Source organism: Homo sapiens, chromosome 11 (assembly GCF_000001405.40).
Source record: "Homo sapiens chromosome 11, GRCh38.p14 Primary Assembly".
NCBI classification, from domain to species: Eukaryota; Metazoa; Chordata; class Mammalia; order Primates; family Hominidae; genus Homo; species Homo sapiens.
The window spans coordinates 6,970,747-6,990,697 of NC_000011.10; the positions used below are offsets into that span (position 1 = coordinate 6,970,747).

Sequence of the window (19,951 nt, forward strand, 5' to 3'; positions counted from 1 at the left end):
ACCTGTGTCAGTGTGCAGATACCTACTACAACATATGCTCTGCTTCTTACTGAGCACAAAACTAGATATTCCGAGACATCCTTCCTTGCAGGTACATGTATACATGTGATAGTTCTAAACAATGGAATGTGCACCAAACATGATAAATGAAGCTTTCAGATCTGCCCCATACAACCCTGTGGGGGAACTTTATCATGCTCTTCTTCCTTGCAAGTGATTGGTAGAACAATAACCAGAGCAATCTTGAAAGCCAGGTGTTGCAGATGACAGAGTGCAGACATCCAGAGTAACCTAAAGGGTCATGTGGAGGAAATACCCCTTCAGCCAACTTTAAATATTAGCCCTGGACTGTTACATGAAAAAAAAAAAACAAATTTGATTAAGTTTGGATCATTAAATTTGAGTGTATTTCTTAGAGAAGTCTGCCTCCTTAACTAATAAGGATCGTCTCTTATTCTTGCCTGAATCCTCATTGCCTAGCACAGTGTCTGAACATAGCAGATGTTAAAAAATGTGTAAGTATAATCTAAATCCTTTCCATCACATCTGTCAACAGTGAATTAATCATATCTCGTTCTATGAGAGATTATTCTTCCTCCATGGCAGAGTTGTTGCTCCTTTGCATTTACATAGTTCTTTGGGCTAGCTTGTATTACAGTCTTTTTATTGCAGTTTGTTAATGCCTTCTCCTCTATCTCCCTGAAGACAGCAATAAATTTTTCTGTACTATTTTGTATCCCATCACCAATCAGAATGCCAGGAAGATAGTAGATGCTCAATAAATGCTGACTAATAAATGCCTATCATAGAGAAAACACAAAATGGATAGATTAAAACATGAAAATCTTTGAGTTCTTTGAGTACATATCCATAGAAAGGAGTAGAGAAGAAAAGTGAGAATTATTAGATTTTTCTTTAAGAGGAGAAGCCAAGAAATAGGAATTAGAGACATAGAAAATTGTTAGGAAGAAATATATGGAATGATACTATAAGTTCACACATTCTGATTCAGCCTTAGTTAAAATTTATCATCGAAACCATAGACATAAAGTTAAAACAACATTTAGCAAGAACTCAAGCTGGGAAGAGAATATTGATAAAGGTGTTTTTGAGTACATAAAGCAGGGTTAGCCATTGTCTCTTAGGAATAAACTGGAAAATGTTATAGAGTACTTACAGAATAGCTAACAAATTTTAAATTAAAGTCATTTTTAAACTACATATTGGCACTGTAAGGTTGTTTTTGCCAAGTCTATTTACTAAAGGAAATTTTTTTTCCCTGTACTACTCAGAGATGTGTTTTAATAGTTGTCTTCCCAAGACTACTCATCTAGAACCTTGAGACTGCCTACTATTATCTGGGAAACTACATTAAATGTTTGAGTGAGATAATTATATTTGTAAATTTAAAATTAAAGACCAGGCATCAGTAACCTTTTGTTTTCTTTGTGGAGAATGAGATAGTAAATATTTTAGACTTTATAGGTTATATAGTCACTCTTTGTCAAAACTACTCAATTTTTTACAAAAGCAGCCATAAACAATACATAATGAATGGGTATGACTGTTAAAATAAGACTTTATTTACAAAAACAGGTGACAGGCCAAATTTGGCCCACATAATTCATCAGCCCCCGTTAGACTAAGTTTATCCTAGGAGACTTTTTTTTTTTTTTAACCAATATTGTAGCAGTTTACTTCCTATAAATTCACAGATTGTTTTTTATATTTAACTTAATAACTATTGAATAACTACAAATACTGTAAACTCTCCTACTAAATTGGGAATGTATCTTTAAGCTTTTCTCCTTGCAAGAGATTTTTGCAAGTAAAATTCACGAGTGATTTTAATAAATGGATTTTAAATTAGAGTGGAAGATCTTTTACTTTCATAAATACCAAAACTCTTATATAAATCAATGGAAGGTGGAATTTCAAGGAAAGCAGAAATCTTCCCTGGCAAATGCCAAAGAAATTTTGACAGAGATGAAACTGAAATAATTACATTGTATTTTCCTATAAAATGATTATCAAGACAGTATTACAATAGTGTGAACTATAATTGTAGGGCTCAAGAGACTAGAAAGAGCTGATCTGTCGAGAAATTCAGACTGTGCATTTCCAATGTCATAAAATAGCCCTTAGCATTGAAAGGATTTTTTTAATTTTTTTTATTATACTTTAAGTTCTAGGGTACATGTGCAAAACGTGCAGGTTTGTTACATGTGTATACATGTGCCATGTTGGTGTGCTGTACCCATTAACTCGTCATTTACATTAAGTATATCTCATAATGCTTTCCCTCCCACCCCACAACAGGCCCCGGTGTGTGATGTCCCCCTTCCTGTCTCCAAGTGTTCTCATTGCTCAATTCCCACCTATGAGTGAGAACATGCAGTGTTTGGTTTTCTGTCCTTGCAATAGTTTGCTCAGAATGATGGTTTCCAGCTTCATCCATGTCCCTACAAAGGACATGAACTCATCATTTTTTATGGCTGCATAGTATTCCATGGTGTATATGTGCCACATTTTCTTAATCCAGTCTATCATTGATGGGCATTTGGATTGGTTCCAAGTCTTTGCTATTGTGAATAGTGCCACAATAAACATACGTGTGCATGTGTCTTTATAGCAGCATGATTTATAATCCTTTGGGTATATACCCAGTAATGGGATGGCTGGGTCAAATGGTATTTCTAGTTCTAGATCCCTGAGGAATTGCCACACTGTCTTCCACAATGGTTGAACTAGTTTACAGTCCCACCACCAGTGTAAAAGTCTTCCTATTTCTCCACAACCTGTCCAGCACCTGTTGTTTCCTGACTTTTTAATGATCGCCATTCTAACTGGTGTGAGATGGTATCTCATTGTGGTTTTGATTTGCATTTCTCTGATGGCCAGTGATGATGAGCATTTTTTCCTGTGTCTGTTGGCTGCATAAATGTCTTCTTTTGAGAAGTGTCTGTTCATATCCTTCACCCACTTGTTGATGGGGTTGTTTTAACCTTGTAAACTTGTTTGAGTTCTTTGTGGATTCTGGATATTAGCCCTTTGTCAGATGAGTAGATTACAAAAACTTTTTCCCATTCTGTAGGTTGCCTGTTGACTCTGATGGTAGTTTCTTTAGCTGTGCAGAAGCTCTTTAGTTTAAATTAGATCCCATTTGTCAATTTTGGCTTTTGTTGCTATTGCTTTTGGTGTTTTAGACATGAAGTCCTTGCCCATTTCTATGTACTGAATGGTACTGCCTAGGTTTTCTTCTAGGGTTTTTATGGTTTTAGGTCTAATATTTAAGTCTTTAATCTATCTTGAATTAATTTTTGTATAAGGTGTAAGGAAGGGATCCAGTTTCAGCTTTCTACATATGGCTAGCCAGTTTTCCCAGCACCATTTCTTAAATAGGGAATCCTTTCCCCATTTCTTGTTTTTGTCAGGTTTGTCAAAGATCAGATGGTTGTAGATGTGTGGTATTATTTCTGAGGGCTCTGTTCTGTTCCATTGGTCTATATCCCTGTTTTGGTACCAGTACCATGCTGTTTTGGTTACTGTTGCCTTGTAGTATAGTTTGAAGTCAGGTAGCGTGATGCCTCCAGCTTTGTTCTTTTGGCTTAGGATTGACTTGGCCATGTGGGCTCTTTTTTGGTTCCATATGAACTTTAAAGTAGTTTTTTCCAATTCTGGGAAGAAAGTCATTGGTAGCTTGATAGGGATGGCATTGAATCTATAAATTACCTTGGGCAGTATGGCCATTTTCATGATATTGATTCTTCCTATCCATGAGCATGGAATGTTTTTCCATTTGTTTGTATCCTCTTTTATTTCATTGAGCAGTGGTTTGTAGTTCTTGAAGAGGTCCTTCACATCCCTTGTAAGTTGGATTCCTAGGTATTTTATTCTCTTTGAAGCAATTGTGAATGGGAGTTCACTCATGATTTGGCTCTCTGTTTGTCTGTTATTGATGTATAAGAATGCTTGTGATTTTTGCACATTGATTTTGTATCCTGAGACTTTGCTGAAGTTGCTTATCAGCTTAAGGAGATTTTGGGCTGAGACGATGGGGTTTTCTAGATATACAATCATGTCATCTGCAAACAGGGACAATTTGACTTCCTCTTTTCCTAATTGAATGCCCTTTATTTCTTTCTCCTGCCTGATTGCCCTGGCCGGAACTTCCAACACTATGTTGAATAGGAGTGGTGAGAGAGGGCATCCCTGTCTTGTGCCAGTTTTCAAAGGGAATGCTTTAAGTTTTTGTCCATTCAGTATTTTATTGGCTGTGGGTTTGTCATAAATAGCTCTTATTATTTTGAGATACATCCCATCAATACCTAATTTATTGAGAGTTTTTAGCATGAAGCGCTGTTGAATTTTGTCAAAGGCCTTTTCTGCATCTATTGAGATAATCATGTGGTTTTTTGTCTTTGGTTCTGTTCATATGCTGGATTACGTTTATTGATTTGCATATGTTGAACCAGCCTTGCTTCCCAGGGATGAAGCCCACTTGATAATTTTTGTGGGTACATAGTAGGTGTATATATTTATGGGGTACATGAGATATTTTGATAGAGGCATGCAATGTAAAATCACATCATGGAGAGTAGGGTATCCATCCCCTCAAGCATTTATCCTTTTTGTTATGATCCAGTTACACACTTAGTTATTTTTAAATGTACAATTACTGACTACAGTCCCATTGTGCTATCCAATAGTAGGTCATATTATTCTATTTTTTTTTTGTTCCCATTAACCATCCCCACCAGCCTCCCAGCCCCTAACTACCCTTTCCAGCCTCTGATAACCATTCTTCTATTCTCTACGTCCGTGAGTTCAATTGTTTTAACCTTTAGGTCCCACAAATAAGTGGGAACATGTGATGTTCGTCTTTCTGTCTTAGATCTCCGGTTCTATCCACATTGTTGCAAATGACTGGATCTCATTCTTTTTTATGGCTGAATATTACGCCATTGTATATATGTACCACATTTTCTTTATCCGTTCCTCTGCTGATGGACACTTAGGCTGATTCCAAATCTTAGCTGTTGTGAACAGTGCTGCAACAAGCACGAAAGTGCAGATATTTCTTTGATATACTGATTTCCTTCTTTTGGATACATATCCAACAGTAGGATTGCTGGATCAGATGATAGCTCTATTTTTAGTTTTTTGAGAAACCTCCAAACTGTTCTTCATAGTGGCTGTACTAATTTACATTCCCATCAACAGTATACAAGGGTTCCCTTTTCTCTAAATCCTCACCAAATGCTATGCCTGTCCTTTGGGTATAAGCTGTTTTAACTGGGGTGAAATGATATGTCATTGTAGTTTTGATTTGCATTTCTCTGATCAATGATGTTGAGCACCTTTTCATGTGCCTGTTTGCCATTTGTATGTCATCTTCTGATAAATGTTTATTCAAATCATTTGCCGAGTTTTTGACTGGATTATTAGATTTTTTCCTATAGAGTTGTTTGAGCTCCTTAAAAGGAATTATTTCTTAAAAGGAAAAACAAAACAAATCTCAGTAAAAGTGGCCTGAGTATCATAAAATTGATTTATTTTCCAAAAAGTCCAATTAATGTCTTAAAATATGAAATGTTGACACAGAGACCAAGGATGCTAAAAATAATATCTTATGATGAAAATAAGGGCACAGTAGAGGTTACCTGAGAATAAATCCAGAGAACTGGCAGTGTTTAATTGATGAAGAAGCGCCTACATTGAGTCCAGAAGATCGTATCAGCTAATGAATATATAGAAAATATGTGAAAATGATGTTGCAGTATTGAGGGAACTTAACTGACTTTAGTCTTGTCCTCAGACAAAGGAAACTTGGAGGAGTTTTTGTTGTTGTTTTATTTAATAATTCCATTTAAGAAGAAATTGCTTCCTCTCTGACTAGCAAATGCTTTTTGGTTCTCACCTGGAGAGGTAACTTACAGATTATTTTATTCTCCACTAGTCACCACTCTTCCCCATGCTCTAGCTGAGTGATTACAATTGACTTGAAAAATCAGTATCTTGTTTGTGGAGAGAAATACACATGTATATGTTTTCTGTTTCTTCTATAAGTTTCCTGTGGCTGCTATAGCAAATTACCACAAACTTAATGGCTTAAAACAACTCATCTTTATGTTCTGATATCAGACGTCTGAAATCAGTTTCAATGAGCAAAAAGTCAAGATGTTGGCAGCATCGTGCTGTCTCTAGAAGGTCTGGGGAGAATCTGTTCTTCACCTTCTCTAGCTGGCATTCCTGGGCTTGTGGCTACATCACTTCAATCTCTGTCTTTGTGGTTGTATCGCCTTCTCTTCTGTGTGAAGTTGATAGGGACTGAATTGTGTCCTCCAAAATTCATGTGTTGAAGTCCTAATTCCAAATACCTCAAATGTGACTGCACAGTAGTCCCCCCTTTTCCATGGTTTCACTTTCTGTGTGGCCAACCACAGTCTGAAAATATTAAATGGAAAATTCCAGAAATCATAAGTTTTAAATTGTGAGCCATTCTGAGTAGTGTGATGAAATTTTGCTCTCCTGCTCTGTCCCACCCAGTCCAGCACAGGATGTGAATGATCCCTTTGTCCAGCATATCTGTACTATATACTCTACCTGACTGTTAGTCACTTAGCAGTTACCTTGGTTATTAGATTTTTTAAAATATAGATGTATATAAGGCTCTGTACTATCCGAGGTTTCAGGTATCCACTGGGGGTGTTGGAATGCATCCCCTGTGGATAAGGAGAAACTATTATATTTGGAGATAGGGCCTTTAAAGAGATGATTAAGTTAAAATGAGACTATTAGAGTGGGCCATAATCCAATCTGTCTGGTATCCTTGTAAGAAGAGGAGATTTGGACCCACAGAGAGACCTAGGTATGCATGCAAATACAGAAGGAACATGTGAAGACAGATGGAGGCCTCAGAAGAAAACCAAACCTGCTGACACCTGGATCTTGGAATTTTAGCTTCCACAATTGTGAGGAAATAAATTTCTGTTGTATATGCCATCCAGTCTGTGATATTTTGTGATAATGAATACACTCTTGTGACAACAAACCCACTCCCAAGATAACATTAACTCATTCATGAGGGCAGAGCCCTAATGACCTAATCACTCATAAAATTGAAATATATATACTCAACACTGTTGCACTGAGTTTTAAGTTTCCAAAACATGAACTTTGAGGGACACATCTAAGTCACAGCAAAAGGAAACTATAAAGATCAGAGACTCAAATCCGGGAAAAGGCAATAGCTCACTCTGTTGGTGAATTTCAATCCCATCAGTGTAATGCCTCTTTTTTCTAACTAACATTACTAAGCATTTACTACTCAGAAACTGATTCAAAAGTAATGTTATCTCCCATTGATATGAAATGTCGAATGTAGGTAAAACAGTGTTCAGTTAGTGAACCCAAGTGTTCATCAGTAGGAGAATGGATAAATTTACAATGATATATTCATAAAAATAACACTCAGCAATAAAAAGGAATGTGCCCCTATACATGCAACATGGATGAATAAATGTGAAAAATACACTGATTGAATGAAGCCTTAGAAGAGAAAATAATCTATGGTTTCATTTATATGAAGTTCTTGAACAGGCAAAACTGATCTATGGTGGGAAACATTTAGAACAGAGATTACCTCTGGTGGATGGTGTTGGCGACTGATTAGAAAAGGGCATTTGACAAAGCTCAGTGAATATACATTTAGGAGCCGAGTTGAAAACAAATACTGAACTCTGATTAATATGTGTGCTGCGATATGTAGGAGACAGCATACTGATGTCTCTAGTTTCACTTGAAATGATTGAAAAATATGGATTGATGGATGACAGAAAAGTAGATGGACAGGTATGATATATCCAATATGGTAGAAGGTGAATAGAAGGACAGGTGTAGTGGCTCACAGCTGTTATTCCAGTGCTTTGGGAAGCTGATGCAGGAGGACCACTTGAAGTCAGGAGTTCAAGACTAGCCTGGGCAACATAGCAAGGCTCCATCTCTACCAAAAAAAAAAATGTATTCACTGTAATATTCTTTCAACTTTATGCTTGAAAATGTTCATAATAAAATGTTGGAAATGTGGTTAATATAATCCACCTATATACTTAATTTTAAAACATTAATTGGAATTAGTTGAATTATAAGATGAACAAAAATGAGAAATGTAAACTCATAAAATTGAAGTATGTTTTCCAGCTCTATCACTGCTAAGATAGAGTTGCTGCCTAACAGCAGCACTTCTGCTCACTATTATAATAAAATTACCGTGTCCCCCATTGCCTAAATTTTATGCTGTTTTAAAGCTCTTATCCACCAAAAGGAACAAGCACACCTTGCCATGTAATGGAATACAAATTTTGGATCAGTACAACATAGGGATATATGTGCCAATTACCAATTTATTGTCTCTCACCCCCAGTCCACCTTTCTTTGTCCAACTCTATGATACTGTACTCTGAGTGACATAGTAGCAATACGGTTTCCAAGAATATCAGGGACAATGTTGAAAGGATAAAGGAATAAATCTAGAGGGACTTCTGCTAGCAAATTTTACAATTTGCTTATTGAATAACACAGTAATAATAATAATGATTGTGGTATATTAGAACAAGCTGAGTCTGTGAAAAACCATAGATTTATAATAACTTGATTTTTAAGCATTTAAAAGAAAAGTTTCTCTATATGGACACTGCGTTTTTTCTGTTACTTATATCTGTTTATAAGTACTTGCTCTTTCTGTCTGTGTAAGCAGGAAAGACAAATACTGTGAATAAGCCAAATAGTCCAATTAAAAGGAGGAACTATTTTAGGAACAGTAATGAGTAATCAGTGCTGTGATTTCCACATAACATCCAAGTAGAAGAAGGAGGTTAAGTAGCATGTTTAAATGTCCTAAGGAGGAGAAGTAACTTGGCCGAATTGATTCTTCATCTCCTAACAGGTAGTTCTATTAATTATAATAAAATACTAATAAAAATTTTTGTTGCTTTTAAATGTTATTAACAGACTAAGTCAAAATGACGTAATGACTTATAAAGTATTGACTAAGAAAATAATTTTAAAATATATTGCTGAGAGGACTGGGGATGGGGGCAAGAAAATAAAACCTACGTGACAGCTATAAACGTGATAGACTTACAGATGTAAAATATTTTTTAAAAGCTTATTTATTTTATTTTGTTTTTCAACCAACTTCCTGAAACATAACCTAGAAAATTGTCAATTGTTAACATTAAAAAGCAACAAGTACACATGCACATGCGTGCAACACACAACAAAATTTAAACGCTAAAAATGAGGTTCAGCCCAATGATCGGTGGTTCAGGATCATATTATTTTGGAAGAAGCATTAAGTTCCTTTGTCAACAATCAATCAGTTAACAAATCCCAGAAGCTATGTATGTATGCCTTTTGTGTTTGTTAAAATTACTGCAGTCATTGGAAGAAATCAAAATAATACTAAAACTCCAATAAAAATTAAAAATACAGCTTATTTTGCTACAAAAATTATATAAAAATTAAAATAATAAATGAATTAAACATATGTCATTTTAGAACAGGTTTAGATGTAACTATAGCAATGTTCTGTAATCATAAATATCAGTTTGATATTTAATGGTTTGGAAGTGATTCAAAAGTCTACAATACTAAATTCAGTTGCAATCGTTTAAAATACTTCAAAGTTTTAATAAGTCAGTGCTCTAGAAAAATCCGTTTTCAATGTTTGAATTATTAAACAGTTTAATAAACTAAGTGTACAAATAGTTGCAGTTTTCCTTTTTGTTCTTGAGTATTAAGTAATAAAAATCAGCCAGTCATTTGAAAAATGAAATTAAACTGATCTTAGTTTACTTTTTATTATTATTATTATTATACTTTAAGTTTTAGGGTACATGTGCACATTGTGCAGGTTAGTTACATATGTATACATGTGCCATGCTGGTGTGCTGCACCCATTAACTCGTCATTTAGCATTAGGTATATCTCCTAAAGCTATCCCTCCCCCCTCCCCCCACCCCACAACAGTCCCCAGAGTGTGATGTTCCCCTTCCTGTGTCCATGTGTTCTCATTGTTCATTTCCCACCTATGAGTGAGAATATGCAGTGTTTGGTTTTTTGTTCTTGTGATAGTTTACTGAAAATGATGATTTCCAATTTCATCCATGTCCCTACAAAGGACATGAACTCATCATTTCTTATGGCTGCATAGTATTCCATGGTGTATATGTGCCACATTTTCTTAATCCAGTCTATCATTGTTGGACATTTGGGTTGGTTCCAAGTCTTTGCTGTTGTGAATAGTGCCACAATAAACATACATGTGCATGTGTCTTTATAGCAGCATGATTTATAGTCCTTTGGGTATATACCCAGTAATGGGATGGCTGGGTCAAATGGTATTTCTAGTTCTAGATCCCTGAGGAATCACCACACTGACTTCCACAATGGTTGAACTAGTTTACAGTCCCACCAACAGTGTAAAAGTGTTCCTATTTCTCCACATCCTCTCCAGCACCTGTTGTTTCCTGACTTTTTAATGATTGCCATTCTAACTGGTGTGAGATGGTATCTCATTGTGGTTTTGATTTGCATTTCTCTGATGGCCAGTGATGGTGAGCATTTTTTCATGTGTTTTTTGGCTGCATGAATGTCTTCTTTTGAGAAGTGTCTGTTCATATCCTTCGCCCACTTTTTGATGGGGTTGTTTGTTTCTTCTTGTAAATTTGTTTGAGTTCATTTTAGATTCTGGATATCAGCCTTTTGTCAGATGAGTAGGTTGTGAAAATTTTCTCCCATTTTGTAGGTTGCCTGTTCACTCTGATGGTAGTTTCTTTTGCTGTGCAGAAGCTCTTTAGTTTAATTAGATCCCATTTGTCAACTTTGGCTTTTGTTGCCATTGCTTTTGGTGTTTTAGACATGAAGTCCTTGCCCATGCCTATGTCTTGAATGGTAATGCCTAGGTTTTCTTCAGGGTTTTTATGGTTTTAGGTCTAACGTTTAAGTCTTTAATCCATCTTGAATTAATTTTTGTATAAGGTGTAAGGAAGGGATCCAGTTTCAGCTTTCTACATATGGCTAGCCAGTTTTCCCAGCACCATTTATTAAATGGGGAATCCTTTCCCTATTGCTTGTTTTTCTCAGGTTTGTCAAAGATCAGATAGTTGTAGATATGCGGCATTATTTCTGGGGGCTCTGTTGTGTTCCATTGATCGATATCTCTGGTTTGGTACCAGTACCATGCTGTTTTGGTTATTGTAGCCTTGTAGTATAGTTTGAAGTCAGGTAGCATGATGCCTCCAGCTTTGTTCTTTTGGCTTAGGATTGACTTGGCGATGTGGGCTCTTTTTTGGTTCCATATGAACTTTAAAGTAGTTTTTTCCAATTCTGTGAAGAAAGTCATTGGTAGCTTGATGGGGATGGCATTGAGTCTATAAATTACCCGGGGCAGTATGGCCATTTTCATGATATATGCACCCAATACAGGAGCACCCAGATTCATAAAGCAAGTCCTGAGTGACCTACAAAGAGACTTAGACTCCCACACAATAATAATGGGAGACTTTAACACCCCACTATCAACATTAGACAGATCAACGAGACAGAAAGTTAACAAGGATACCCAGGAATTGAACTCAGCTCTGCACCAAGCAGACCTAATAGACATCTACAGAACTCTCCACCCCAAATCAACAGAATGTACATTTTTTTCAGCACCACACCACACCTATTCCAAAATTGACCACATACTTGGAAGTAAAGCTCTCCTCAGCAAATCTAAAAGATCAGAAATTATAACAAACTGTCTCTCAGACCACAATGCAATCAAACTAGAACTCAGGATTAAGAAACTCACTCAAAACCACTCAACTACATGGAAACTGAACAACTTGCTCCTGAATGACTACTGGGTACATAACGAAATGAAGGCAGAAATAAAGATGTTCTTTGAAACCAACGAGAACAAAGACACAACATACCAGAATCTCTGGGACACATTCAAAGCAGTGTGTAGAGGGAAACTTATAGCACTAAATGCCCACAAGAGAAAGCAGGAAAGATCCAAAATTGACACCCTAACATCACAATTAAAAGAACTAGAAAAGCAAGAACAAACACATTCAAAAGCTAGCAGAAGGCAAGAAATAACTAAAATCAGAGCAGAACTGAAGGAAATAGAGACACAAAAAACCCTTCAAAAAATTAGTGAATCCAGGAGCTGGTTTTTTGAAAGGATCAACAAAATTGATAGACCACTAGCAAGACTAATAAAGAAGAAAAGAGAGAAGAATCAAATAGATGCAATAAAAAATGATAAAGGGGATATCACCACCGATTCCACAGAAATACAAACTACCATCAGAGAATACTACAAACACCTCCACGCAAATAAACTAGAAAATCTAGAAGAAATGGATAAACTCCTCGACACATACACCCTCCCAAGACTAAATCAGGAAGAAGTTGACTCTCTGAATAGACCAATAACAGGCTCTGAAATTGTGGCAATAATCAATAGCTTACCAACCAAAAAGAGTCCAGGACCAGATGGATTCACAGCTGAATTCTACCAGAGGTACAAGGAGGAACTGGTACCATTCCTTCTGAAACTATTCCAATCAACAGAAAAAGAGGGAATCCTCCCTAACTCATTTTATGAGGCCAGCATCATCTTGATACCAAAGCCTGGCAGAGACACAAGCAAAAAAGAGAATTTTGAACCAATATCCTTGATGAACATTGATGCAAAAATCCTCAATAAAATACTGGCAAACCGAATCCAGCAGCACATCAAAAAGTTTACTTTTTATAAGAATATAAATTCCAAATGTATCAAAGTTTTAAATATGAGAACTAAAATAATTTTTAAAAACTAGAACATAGATATATCTTGTTAAAAATATTATGAAGTGGAAATAGCAAACTCAGAGACATTGTTTTAAACTTGTTAAAGTTTGTATATATTAGAAAATACGAATAAAACCAAAAATAAACTGGGAGAAATAGTTTCATTACATATGGCAAAGGAAGTGCTAATATCTCTAACATAAAAAGCTGATAAAAACAAGGAAAAGACAAAGCATCAAGTAGAAATCTGGCAAAGAATATAATCCAAAATTCTACAGGAAAAGTCCAAATGAATGATAAATCCATATAAAGGTGATAGGCTTATCTAATATTTAAAGAATTATAAAGTTTAACACCAATACAGTATTTTTTCTCTTATGAGACTAAACGCCTAAAACATGATAGTACTCAGTATTGGTAAAGGATATAAAAATTAACATACTCTCAAACGCTATCTTTGGGGGTATGAAGTGGTAAAATATTTCAGGAAGATAATTTGACAATGTCCCTTAAATTTTTTTTTTTTTCAGATGGAGTTTCCCTCTTGTTGCCCAGGCTGGAGTATAATGATGCAGTCTCGGCTCACTGCAACCTCCACCTCTGGGTTCAAGTGATTCTCCTGCCTCAGCCTCCTGAGTAGCTGGGATTAGAGGCACCCACCACCATGCCTAGCTAATTTTTTGTGTTTCTAGTAGAAATGGGGTTTCACCATGTTGGCCAGGCTGGTCTTGAACTCCTGACCTCAAGTGATCCGCCCACCTCAGCCTCCTAAAGTGCTGGGATGACAGGCGTGAGCCACCACGCCCAGCTGTCCCTTAACATTTGAAATGTGTATATCACCTCATTTAGCTATTCTGTTTCTAGAAACTTATTTTTACAAAGAAAATTCACAAATGCACACGAAAATGTATGCATGAAGATACTTGTCACAGCGTTGGTTGTAATAATATGGAATTAGGTCAAATATTTATCAGTAAAAGACTAAGTCATATTGTGCATATACTGAAATATGTGATAAACCTAAATTTACTGACAATCTGCCCATGATTTACTTTTATGAGAAAAAAGGGAGGTGAAATTTATTGTATATGGTATGATTCCATAGTTTGAAAACTAAGATATAAATTGGTATGTTGCTACCTGCACAAAGAGGGGAAAATTACATAAACTAACTTTTTAGAAGCCATTTTATCCAGATAGTAAGATTAAATTGGGTTTTCACAATCTTTTACATTTCTCTTATAGAAATAAAAAATAGTTAAAAAGAGAACAGACCAGTAATAGGTTCCAAAATTGAATCAGTAATAAAAACCCTACCAACCAAAAAACTGCACTGGTCACGATGGATTCACAGCCGAATTCCACCAGATATACAAAGAAGACATAGTATCAATCCTACTGAAACCATTCCAAAAAATTGAGGAGGGGGGCTCCTCTATAACTCATTCTCTAAAGGCAGCATCACCCTGAGACCAAAACTGGCAAAGACACAATGAGAAAAGAAAACTTCAGACCAATGTCCCTGATGAACATAGACACACCAATTCTCAACAAAATACTAACAAACCAAATCCAGCAGCACACCAAAAAGATAATTCACGATGATGAAGTAGGCTTTATTCCTGGAATGCAAGATTGATTCAACAAATGCAAGTCAATAAATGTGATTCATCACAAAAACATAATTAAAAGGAAAAAAACTAATCTCAATATTTACATAAAAAGCTTTTGATAACGTCCAATGTCCCTTCATGATAAAAAGCCCCAACACAATAGACACCTAAGGAGCATACCTCAAAATAATTAGAGCCATCTATGACAAACCCACAGCCAACATTGTACTAAACAGGCAAAATCTAGAACCATTCCCCATGAAAACTAGAACAAGACAAAGATGGCCACGCTCACCACTCCTATTCACCTTAGTAGTGGAAGTCCTAGCTGAAACAATCAGGTAAGAGAAAGAAATGCATCCAAATAGGAAAAGAAGTCAAGCTATTTATCTTCACTGATGATATGATTCTATACTTAGAAAACACTAAAGACTCTGCAAAAATGCTCCTAGAGCTTATAAACAATTTCAGGAAAGTTTCAGGATACAAAATCAATGTACAGAAATCAGTAGCATTTCTATATACCAATAACATTTAAGCTGAGAGCCAAATCAAGAATGCAATCCTATTTACAGTAGCCTCAAAAAGAATAAAATACCTAAGAATACAGAGAGCCAAGGAGGTGAAGAATCTCTACAAGGAGAATTACAAAACACTGTTAAATCAAAGATGACACAAAAAGAAAAAAGGTCCCATGCTCATGTATTGGAAGAATCAATATTATTTAAATGGCCATACTGCCCAAAGCAATTCACAATTCAACACTATTCCTATTAAACTATCAACATAATTTTTCACAGAATTAGAAAAAACTATTCTGAAATTAATGGAACCAAAAAAGATCTCGAATATCCAAAGCAATCCTAAGTAAAAAAGAACAAAGCCAGAGGCATCACATTACCCAACTTCAAACTATATACTACAATGCTACAGTAACCAAAATAGCATGATTCTGGTATAAAAACAGACACATAGACCAATACAACAGAATAGAGAATCCAGAAATAAAGCCACATGCCCACAACCATCTTATCTTTGACAAAATCAACAACAATAAGCAATGGTGAAAAAACTCCCTATTCAATAAATGATGCTGGGATAACTGGCTAGTCATATGCAAAAAAATGAAACTAGATCCCTACCTAACACCATAAACCAAAACTAACTCAAGATGTATTAAAGACTGAAATATAAAGCCTCAAACTACAAAAATCCTAGATGAAAACCTAGGAAACACCCTTCTTGATATTGGCCTTGGGAAATAATTTATGGCTAAGTCCTCTTGCAACAAACCAAAAACTGACAAGTGGAACCTAATTAAAGAGCTTCTGCACAGCAAAAGAGATCATCAAAGGAGTAAACAGACAACCTAGAGAATGGTAGAAAGTATTTGTAAACTATGCATCCAACAAACGTCTAATATCCAGAATCTACAAGGAACTTAAATCAACAAACAAAAACCCCATTAAAAATGAGCAAAGGACATGAACAGACACTTTTCAAAAGAAGATATACAAGCAGTCAACAAATATATGAAAAAATGCTCATCATCACTAACAGAAAAATGCAAATCAAAACCCCAATGGGATACCATCTCACACCAGGCAAAATGACTTTTGTTAAAAAGTCAAAAACAAAAACAAAAACAAAAACAGATGTTGGTGAGGCAGCATCTGTTTCTCTGTTTCCCTGCAGAGAAAAGGGAATACTTATACATTGTTTTTGGGGATGTAAACTAGTTCAGCCAACCGTGGAGAGCAGTTTGGAGATTTCTCAAATAACTGAGGGTTGAACTACCATTTGACCCAGCAATGACTTCTGGGTACATACACAAAAGAAAATAAATCATTTTATCAAAACGACACATGCACCCATATGTTCATTGCAGAACTATTCACAATAGCAAAGACATGGTGACCATCAATGGTGGATTGCGTAAAGAAAATGTGGTACATATATTCCAAGGAATACTATGAAGCCATAAAAACGAATGATATTATGTCTTTCGCAGCAACATGATACAGCCGGAAACCATTACCTAAGCAAAATAACACAGAAACAGAAAACCAAATACCACTGGTTCTCATTTATACCACGGAGCTAAACATTGGGTACACATGATCATAAAAATGGGAAAAATAGACACTGGGGAATACAAGAGGTGGGAGGAAAGCAGTGGGGAAGAGCTGAAATAAACTACCTTTGGGTACTATACTCACTAACTGGATGACACATTAATTTGTGCTCCAAACTTCAGTATCATGTAACATACATTTGTAACAAACTTGCACATGTATCCCCGACTGTAAGATAAAAGTTGAAAAAAGAAAAAAGCAAAAGAAAGAAAAAGAAATCCACACATAGGCATCTGGTATGTATATCTATCTTTTGTTATCTTTTCAAGAATTTGTTTAGAATGAGCCAGTTGCCCTGCAGCTTATTAACTCAGAGAAACTAGTCACAGTCAAGTTTCTGAAAATGCAAAGATGCAGGTAGATGATAAAGCACTCACCAAAGTAATAACATCCATTGTAGTCTCTAGTAACCAGTCAGTTGTTCTTCTGCTATAAATCTTGACATATCACAGTATGTCTTCTTTCAAATTGCACCCCACTAACCCCACCTCTGACAAATTACATGGCATTTCAGCATGGAGGGAGGAAGGACTTACCTGGGATTTGGCCATTTCTTCTTCTTAGGAAAGTGGAAAACTGGAACAAAAAAAGAAAGAAAAGTAATTATAATCAGAGCTTGCCTTACAGCTCCAGATTAATCACTTTTAAAACCTCACTTATCAACTATATCTAAGAACATTCTGTAGGAGACTGAATCCCTGTGTCCTATGTAAGGAAGAACCATGTTGAAGTAGTGTGACCTGTCAGATTAAATGTTAAGTAAAAATTTGGAGCAACAGCAATTCATAATCATAACCAATGCATAATCTGTTCAATTACCTTGTAGAGAATTATACCCATGACTTATACCTTCTTCCTCACATCGATAGGGAGAACACACTGAAGGAAGCAGAATGAGGGGCACTAAGCACTGCAGGAGAAGATGGGGATGGCAGACTCAGCCTGACCAAAGAAATCAATCACATCTTGGTAAAGTAAGCCACTCTCATTTGTGTCTGGATTAGAGTAGGATGAACATCAGAAAAGGGCTCTGTGATCAGCCTCCTTTACTAGGCTTTAATGTAACTGATTTTCCCTTTATTATCTCCTAAACTCCTAATTTAGAACAGCATATAATAAAGCCTTTTTGTGCAGCTTTCTATCCAGGCACCAAGAGGGGAAACCAGCTCTTATATGCAGAAGTGACATACAATGCCTTCCTCCAAAATGCTAGCAACAACCATCTCTGTACCCTCAAAAGTGAACTTGTTGAGGGCAAGACTTAGGTGTCCTATCACACTGAATCCCAGAGAAAGCAAACAAGATAGAATTAAATTGGCCTGTGTTTGTTCTTCAGCCTCCCCATCAGAGCTGAACTAGAGATGACTCAAACACAAAATCATTAGGCTTCCTGGGGTTTGTGGTAAAATGGAATATGAGATATGCTAAAGATGTTTTCACTACAAAACACTCAAAATAACCAAATAAATATAATACCTTGATAATTTTGAACTTTACCTGAGCTATGTGATCCTATAATCCTCTTAAGAATCTAGGGTGTGGTGGCTCATGCCTGTAATCCCAGCACTTTGGGAGGCCGAGGCAGGCAGAACACAAGGTCAGGAATTTGAGACCAGCCTGGCCAACATGGTGAAACCCCATCTCTATTAAAAATACAAAAATTAGCCAGGCATGGTGGTGGGTGCCTGTAATCCCAACTACTCGGAGGCTAAGGCAGGAGAATTGCTTGAAGCTGGGAGGCAGAGGTTGCAGTGAGCCCAGATCGTGCCAATGCACTCCAGCCTGGGTGACAGAGATCCGTCTCAAAAAAAAAAAAAAAAAAAAAAAAGGTATTATGTTGGTGCAAAAGTAATTGCACTTTTTACAATAAAAGTAATGGTAAAAACTTTTGCACCAAGCGAATAAAATTGCTGGGAAAAAACATCAGCAGTCTGATCAAACATCCCACTTTCCCAAACCTACTTCTTTCTAGCCACGTTTATGCCTTCCTATAAAAGAAGTAGACATGGGTTCTGGAGCAAGGACATTATTTCTGGAGAAGATAACTAGTCACCCTTTGAAAAGAAGCTTCTGATATACTACTAGGCCCTAGTGGACACTGAACACCTACCTGGAACATCAAATGACTAGATAGCCACACCCACCCATGAACTGAGTATTGTCAGATCAACCAAGTTATAAAATTGGATAGGTACTATAGCAGTCCATCATAGGAGGGAAATGGTATGTTTGAGATTGATTCAGAGGGCTAAAATTTCATGAATAGGTGGCCCAGACTCCCATGTTCCCTAGCTCTGCTGCACTCTTGGCTCTTCCTAAACTTGTATCCATGGCCCTACAAGTAGCTTCCTGTGACCAGCTGACAGAGGAAGTGAAAACACAGGCCTGGGTCACAGAAGAGTTGGCTCAATATTGCAACCACCAGACAAATCTGGTTCAATTTTTATGTAACAAGGTTGTGAGTTATTTTTCAATTCCCATGGACCCTCAGGTCATGTAACCTGAGTATGCCCAGATAAACCAAGCCTGCAACCATAGGGAGAACCTAATGCTCAGACCTAGCAGCAGAAACTGAATTAAGAAGCAGACACTGCATGTCATAACCCAGGATCAAATCAAATTGAGCTCTGGCATCACCTACATGGCAGGATGCAATCAGATAATGCCTCCCAGCACTACCTTATTGCAAGATCCAATCAGATCATGCTTCATTGCCCTATGCTTATAAAACCCAACCCTGCCCCTAGCTCAGGGAGACAGATTTGAACCTTTCCTCCTGTCTCCTTGCAAGTCAACTTGTAATTAAGCTTTTTCTATTTTTGAAAGCTTGTGCCAAAGTATTGGTCTCCATGTGTATCAGGCAGCAAGCCCATGGATTTCTTCGTAGCAGTATGTTGGAGCCAAAATCATACTGCTGCTGTACCTCAGCCCCACTCAAGGATAGCCTTAACAATGGTGAAGGGAAATCTTTCCAGTGGCAAAGTCACAAAAAAATGTTGAAAAACCTCATCTGTTAAAGTATTATACACAGAGCTGTGTATGGAATATGCTACTATTTTTATTTTTAAAAACCAAAAAGGATATGCATATCTATTTGCTTGTGCATGTATTAAAAATGCTTTGAAAGAATTCATTAGACACCAGAAAAAAATGGCTGCCTCCAGAGATAGGTACTGGATAGGTGAGAGAAGTGAGAGGGAGACTTACACCTTACAACCTCTGTATCTTTTGTATTTACAGCCACATTAATGTATTATCTATGTTTTAAAGGAAAATTAATGTTCATTATACAATGGAATACTATCTTTCAAAAATTCTTAAGAATGTCTTTCTGTTGTCTTTATATATATT

At 36.5% G+C, this 19,951-nt stretch overlaps 1 protein-coding gene across 6 annotated transcripts in view; it reads left to right on the top strand.

Moving 5' to 3' along the window:
• ZNF215 (zinc finger protein 215) overlaps positions 1 to 19,951 on the top strand; it is a 67,998-nt gene that overhangs the window by 44,321 nt on the left and 3,726 nt on the right. For 4 of the 6 annotated variants that reach the window (NR_149005.2, XM_047427572.1, XM_047427571.1 and 1 more), the window contains one exon: positions 17,470 to 18,184. Coding sequence is in view for 4 of the 6 variants with exons in the window: in XM_047427572.1 (XP_047283528.1) it covers positions 17,470 to 17,483 (14 nt within the window). In the remaining 2 variants the exon portion in view is untranslated. Of the gene's footprint in view, positions 1 to 13,382; positions 13,885 to 17,469; positions 18,185 to 19,951 lie in introns of those variants that run through there. The other 2 variants (XR_002957191.2, NM_001354854.1) reach the window with 2 other exon arrangements.